General features: G+C 40.3%; 1 protein-coding gene across 7 annotated transcripts in view; it reads right to left on the reverse strand.

Annotated features, from left to right (window-relative positions):
- PXDNL (peroxidasin like) overlaps positions 1-7,473 on the reverse strand; it is a 489,869-nt gene that overhangs the window by 428,814 nt on the left and 53,582 nt on the right. The gene's annotated exons all lie outside the window — the stretch shown is intronic.

Here is a 7,473-nt window from a genome sequence, read left to right on the forward strand (position 1 = left end):
CATGGGCCCTTAGAGGGAGAGCTGGGATTGCTCCAGACGGTGAGCAGCTCAAACCCTGCATTGTGGGTGGGCAGAAAGGCAGGTGGGGTGGCACGCTCCTGGATGCCACTGCATTCCGACAGGACACCCGGTCCCAGCTGGAGCACAGCATCACTGCCTGGGCCAAGGTTCACTGTCCTGGATTAGCAAGAACAGCTGGAAAGTTTGTTTGGGCATGGGGGTGAAGCAGGAGTTATTTTAAAAAACTGTGAACAAGTGACCATAGAATTAAAAAGGAAATGAGGATCTGGACAAAGAACAACACGAGGTCACGAGCCCCTGGGCCCACCCAAGTGTCCAGAAGCCCCTACCTTCCTTAGTAGCCTCCTGCCGTGGGTCTTTCCCCCTGGTTCCTGGGGAAAACACTCATCAGTCCAAAACAACCTGCCTTAAAATACTCAACAGTCCGAAACAACCTGCAAAACTACTGGGAGAGTGCAGTGTTTGTTTTCAAAATTAGGACACTAAAAATAAGCAGAATGCATTTCATTTAAGAAACTCAATTTATTTAAAACTACCTATTGTCTCCTTCAAGTTCCTTAGAGTTCATTATGAATTTGAAGGCGTAACTAGTGTAAGTATGATAGGATAAATTTAGCCAAAACCTGAAAAAATCAAGTTAAAAGGAATAGTTATGAATTCTTTTAAAAATAATTTTAAACATTTTGGTATCAGTATTAATTACATGCTCTAAATTATTCATTGATACTAATTATGTAGTACAAGGAGGTATAATTACTTCAAGGAATGTCTGCAGATGATTATATAAAAATAATCTTCTAAGCTACATCCTACGACACTCTCGGAAGGTTTAAGATTTAAATAGATACTGAGTCATGGGTCACTTAACGACAAGGATATGTTCTGAGAAATATGTCCTTAGAAGATTTCAATGTTGTGCACACATCATAGAGTGTCCTTACACAAAGCTAGATGGTAGAGCCTACCATGCTCCTAGGCTATATGGTATACCCATTCACACCTGTGCAGTGTGTCACCACACTGAATACTGTAGGAAACTGAAACATATTGGTAAGTATAGTGTATCTAAACATATCTAAACATAGAAAAGGTACAGTAAAAATACAGCATAAAAGATTAAAAACGGTCCGCCTGCATAGGGCACTCACTTTGAATGGAGCTTGCAGGATAGAAGTTGCTCAGCGTGAGTCAGTGATTGAGGGGTGAGTGAATGTGAAGGCCTAGGACATTACTGTACGCTACTGTAGACTTCATTAACACTGAACACTTCAGCTACACTAAACTTATTTTATTTATTTATTTATTTTTGAGGCAGAGTCTTACTCTGTTACCAGGCTGGAGTGCAGTGGCATGATCTCGGCTCACTGCAACCTCCGACTCCCTGGTTCAAGCGATTCTCCTGCCTCAGCCTCCTGAGTAGCTGGGATTACAGGCACGTACCACCATGCCCAGCTAATTTTTGTATTTTTAGTAGAGACGGGGTTTCACCATGTTGGCCAGGATGGTCTCGATCTTCTGACCTTGTGATCCTCCCAACCTCGGCCTCCCAAAGTGCTAAGATTACAGGCGTGAGCCACCAGGCCCGGTCCACTAAACTTATTTTTTAAAATTTTCTATCTTCAACAAAAATTAACCTTAGCTTATGTAACATTTTTACTTTAGAAAGTTTTTATTTTTTTCCACATTTTTATCCTTGTGTAACACTTAGCTTAAAACACAAATACATTGTACAGCTGTACAAAAAAATTTTTATATCCTTATTTACAAGCTTTTTAAATTTTTTTTTCTTTTTAAACTTTTTTGTTAAAAACTAAGACACAGACACACACATTATCCCAGGCCTGCACAAGGTCAGGATCATCAATATCACTATCTTCCACCTCCACATCATATCCCACTGGAAGGTCCTCAGGGGCAAAAGCACGCATGGAGCTGTCATCTCTATGATAACAATGCCTCCTTCTCGATACCTTCTGAAGGACCTGTCTGAGGTTCTTCCTGAGTAGGTTCATTTATACCAACATCACCACAGACACCTGCGTAATGCATTGCTCTATGGCAGTAAGACAGCTATGACAGTGATAGGAAATTTTCAGCTGCATAATAATCGTATGGGACCACTGTCATATACACTGTCCATCATTGACCAAAACGTCATTATGTGGTGCATGACTGTATTATCTGACAATCAGTGTAAACCCAGGATAACATTTTAAGCAAGGGCTCTTTGTAAATCTTTCTTTAGTTCCAGATGGCAGGAGATGATGGTCTCTTATTTACTACCCTACCAGTTATCAAACCTACCTGAAAGTCCTTTTCTTCAAGCCAGATATTGTTAATATCTACTGTTCCTAGTTTATAAATTGAACTTTATCATAGGTATGTACGTATAGGAAGAAATAGTACATATAGGGTTCAGTACTATCCGCGGTTTCGGGCATCCACTGGGGGCCTTGCCATGTATCCCCCATGGAGAAGGGGGGATGGTTGTAAACAGACAGTTTAGACAAAGAACTCTTCCCTAGCTAGGGACAAAAGTTACAAATGCTTTGGTAGTTTTTAATTTTCTGCTGAGGCAGGTAAAAAAATACAAAGTCTATCCAGAGAAAATGCCAGTTATTTTTTTTTTGAAAAGTTTTAATTTTTATAGAGGAAAAGTGCTTTCAGACATTGCAAAGATTTTTCAAAAAAGAAATATCATTGCTCTTATTTTGCCAAGAAAAATTGGAAGACTTCATCATAGGTCATATCAACATGTTCTGGGTAACAAAATGCTCAGTCATACAAGGCTAAATATGTAAGCAGATCTGCTCTAATCTTAATTATCTGAAAGCTCAAAATTACTGATAAAATATAATTTACAATGACATGAGACTCTATTGACATATATCACTATTAAAGATCATGTTTTTAAGATCAAATACTATTAAATCTTAATTTTTGAGTAATTCTTTTACACACTTTGTCCCTATCAAAGTATCTTTTATTTTGTTCTAAAATTTTACCACCACTTCCAATCCATGACTTCTCCATGACAAATGAATAAATGAATTGGCGTGTTTATTTTACACCATGCTGGAGCTCATGTTTTCTCTGATATTTCACACAATTACTTCAGATATTAGATGACTTTGTCTGACCCCAAGTCACCATAGATTCGAAAGGTCTCAGCAGAAAAAAGGGAATTTGCATTAGAATATTTGGTCTCATTAAAAACTAAGTCCTCCAAGCATGCCATCTGATCATGCCCAGATTCCACAGTGAACAAACTATAAGAAGCTGGGGCTGGGGTGGGAAACAGATGTGTGCTTTAATACTTTTTCTTTCTGACTTCCTCATAATTCTACCCAGTCCTCAATAATCCTAAAAGAAAATAAAGGTTTAGAAAAGTAAATTCTTGTAGGATTGTACTTTCCTTCTAATTTCCCCTCTTTATCAGCTAAGAGAAATACTTCTGTACTTCAACTCAGGCATAGAAGTGTTCCCGGAACAAACTGAGGGTTGGGCTGCTATTTCTTGTGGCCCAATAACAAGATGCAGATGAACAGGGGAGGAAGAGAGTTTTTATTTCTGCCACCAGTTACAAGGAGAAGGCCTGGAAATTATCGCTAGACCAACTCAAAATTACAAAGTTTTCCAGGGCTTATACACGTTCTAAACTCTCTGTCTAACTGTAAGTATGCATTCATCTAAACAAATAAGTGATTAATTTCTTTTAATCTATAACTAAGCTCTGAGTCCTGAAGACCTTCCTCTGGAGCCTCAGTAAATTTACTTAAATTCAGTGGGTCCAGGTGCTGGGGTGATTACCCTTATCTCGTCTCCTGTTAAATCACGGAGGTTTGGGGAGCTCTTTTGGACCCCTAATAAACTTGTTTGCAGAGGCCTGGGGAGTTTCTTCAGACCCCCAATAAAACTTGTTTAATCCTAAATGGGTCCTGTTAAGAATTCCTTCATTATCTTCTCATGCTTTAAGGCCCACGAAAGGCCTATGCAAGACTCTTGGTGGGCTTTTGTTACATTCCAGCCTTTGTATAAGGGCACTGGCTCTCTCAGCTTTTAATATTTAACCACTCAGTCAGTGCTGAAACAGTTGCTATGGAGGCCTATGTTAGTGAGACCTGGCCTGCCACAGAAGGGCTATTTAATACAGATCATGTATGCCAGCATCATGAACCTCTGTCACCTACAATCTCCTGACTAAAGGATGTGGGGTGGGTTTGGGTATGCCCCCACCTGCACAGTAAGGTGTACTGTCCTCATTGTTCATTTTCCTAATGCCCATCTTATTTAAAATTACTGTTCATGCCTTTAGTGATATTTGTATATAAGAAAGCATCAAGTTATACCCTAGGGAATCTGTTTGGCATTGAAGGAAAAATCTTGACTTTGATGGCAGATGGAAGTTAATTTGGTGGTCACCTCTCAGCTCCTTGTGAATACTTTCCACATTATAAAGTCTGCTCACAGAGAATGAGCATCCATGGGGCATACCCATGGGCACAAATGTCTACAAATGGGGTGGCTGTGATGTCTCAGATCAAGACCAAGGTGTCTGCCAGAATCCTGGGGAAAGGCTTCGTGGCGACTGCCAACATGCGGCTGCCTCCAGCCGGTGCCATTCGTCCTGCACATCAGTGAATATTTGGCCATTTACAATGGAACAGTAAATATGGAATAGCACAATTATTATTCAGAGCACAGATTTATCCTACAAATGGATTTCTCTTGATTGCGTAACATTTAACAGGGAATATAGTTTCCGGAGAAATCAAATTCCCCTTTCCATTGTCCATTTCAATTTATCCAAAGCTATAATGTGCTATTGGCTATTTAAGACAAAAAAAAGAGGTATTTTTGAATATGAATCACTCATTTCCCTGTTTAAGCTACTGTCACATGATTTCCCAGGTAGGAGATGAATGACGAATACCAGGCAGAATCCCTAACAAAGAGTGTCCTGAAGGAAAGAGTAGAGAGCCACAAGAATTATAATAATCCCTCATTTCTACCAGTTGGAGGATGAGAATGTATTTCAAGTGCTCATAAACTGACATAATTTCATTTGGAATTGCCTTTTAATCAAAAAAGAAGAGTATCTTTTTATGTGTTCATTCTGATCCATAGTATCGCATGATCATCCTTAAACAGGAACTCAATGAAGTACTTTAATCTGTGCATCGCACACTAAAAGGTTCATTGGGTTTTTTTGCCTGAAGCAAGCAGAATAAAAAGAACAGAGAGAAATTCAGCTGAGGTCATATTGGGAATACTCCTTTACAAGGAAGGAAAATGAAAAATCAAGTACATAACGGGAAATAAACCTTGATGAGGAAATTATAGCAGATGAAAGCTGATCATCTACAGCAAACAGGGCAAAGGTGGTTCCAAAAGCAGATGTACAATTAAATAAGCAAGGCTCAGAGATATTGACCCACAGCCTGGCTGGACTGCAGCTTGGCTCCTTACACACAGTGGGCATTCCTTTGTCTGATTTGATGAAAGTCTCACTTAACCTCAACCGATTAATATGCCTCTGGCCCTGAAATTATGTATCTCGATTATCAAGCCACTGGAGACCTGAGGCTTATTTCTACATTTTTCTCTTAGCTATTTTGATAACAAGCGCCAAGGATTTATACAGAAAGTTTTGTCAAAACTATTCTCAGTCTCAGAAAATGTACAGTGTTTGCTATGTGTGTATTTAATACAAGGCTACAAAATGACTTTCAAAGCCCGATGCAACAAGATAAAAGCAGTTCTTACTTCACATATGTGGAGGGAACAGGATTTTACTATAGGAATTTATTCATACTAATCTCTTAAAAATGTAGATTGTCAGTGAAAAAAAAATGTAATGAATACCCAGGTGCCAAATCCTGTGAGCACTGGGAAGTGTGGTTTTATGTGCCCCCAGGGGCTGTTGATCCCATTGCGGGTGGTTCTGAGAGCACACAAAAGAAACCCACCACTGGAGGCAGCCCCGATGAGAAGCCTGCCCAAGGGCAGGGGAAAAGCCATGGCTTCTGGCTGAAGGTAATAAAAAAGGCTTCCCTGAGAATGAGCTAGTTCATCCAGGCCTTGAAAGTCAAGTCATTTCTTTTTTTTTTGAGGCAGAGTCTCGCTCTGTCACCCAGGCTGGAGTCCAATGGCGCGATCTCAGCTCACTGCAAGCTCCGCCTCCTGGGTTCATTCCATTCTCCTGCCTCAGCCTCCCTAGTAGCTGGGACTACAGGCGCCCGCCACCATGCCCGGCTAATTTTTTGTATTTTTAGTAGAGATACGGTTTCACCGTGTTAGGTAGGATGGTCTCGATCTCCTGACCTCATGATCTGCCCATCTTGCCCTCCCAAAGTGCTGGGATTACAGGCATGAACCACTGCGCCCGGCCAAAAGTCAAGTCGTTTCTGACAGGTCATTTTTAACAAGTAGTTTTTAGAGAAGTAGGAGAAGGCAATATTTGTTCATTCAGCATTAAAAAAAAAATATTTTTTAGAGATGCGGTCTCACCAGGTGGCCTATACTGGCCTCAAACTCCTGGCCTCACGGGATCCTCCTGCCTGAGACTGGGATTACAGGTGTGAGCCTAGGCACCCTGCACTGCAAACAGTTATTAAATGCTTACTCTGCACAAGTTACTAGAGAATACAAGAGAGAACACAGGGAATGATGAAAGTTCCACCATTCAGGCTGGCCTCTAACATCTCTAGAGTCTGAACAAAAGGACAAATGGGCCCCATCCATCTAAACAGTGAAATCTAGTAAATTAAACTGTAAATAAAATATGTTCTATTCTCCTATCTTGAGAAGCATACCTTCATAATGATAAAATGTTAAAATGGTAGAGTCATGGTCATATATTTATGATGATGGAATAGAATGTTTTGTTTTTTTTTTTTTGAGACAGAGTCTCGCTGTTGTCGCCCAGGCTGGAGTGCAGGGGCACTATGTTGGCTCACTGCAATCCCCACCTCCTGGGTTCAAGCAATTCTCCTGCCTCAGCCTCCTGAGTAGCTGGGATTACAGGCGCCCACCACCACACTCGACTAATTTTTGTATTTTTAGTAGAGATGGATTTTGCCATGTTGCAGGCTGGTCTCAAACTCCTGACCTCAGGTGACCCACCTGCCTCGGCCTCCCAAAGTGCTGGGGTTTCAGGCATTAGCCGCCATGCTCGGCCTATTACCCAGTTTTGAGATGTCCTTATGATGTGCTGTGATGGTAGATGAATAAGAAAATCAAGACACACATAACTCATAAATGTTCATCTATATATTTCATAAAATTTATCTTTTACCTTTTTATTAACAAAATCACTAATTGTGTGTTCACAGTCAAAATTTTCCATGTAATTTTCTTCTGTTGAGGGTAATGCTAAAATTAGGGCATCTTTCTTGAGTCACTGTAGTTTATTTCAGTATAGAGAAATTTCACTCTGCTAAGTCAGCAGCA

Source organism: Homo sapiens, chromosome 8 (genome assembly GCF_000001405.40).
Source record: "Homo sapiens chromosome 8, GRCh38.p14 Primary Assembly".
Classification (NCBI taxonomy): Eukaryota; Metazoa; Chordata; class Mammalia; order Primates; family Hominidae; genus Homo; species Homo sapiens.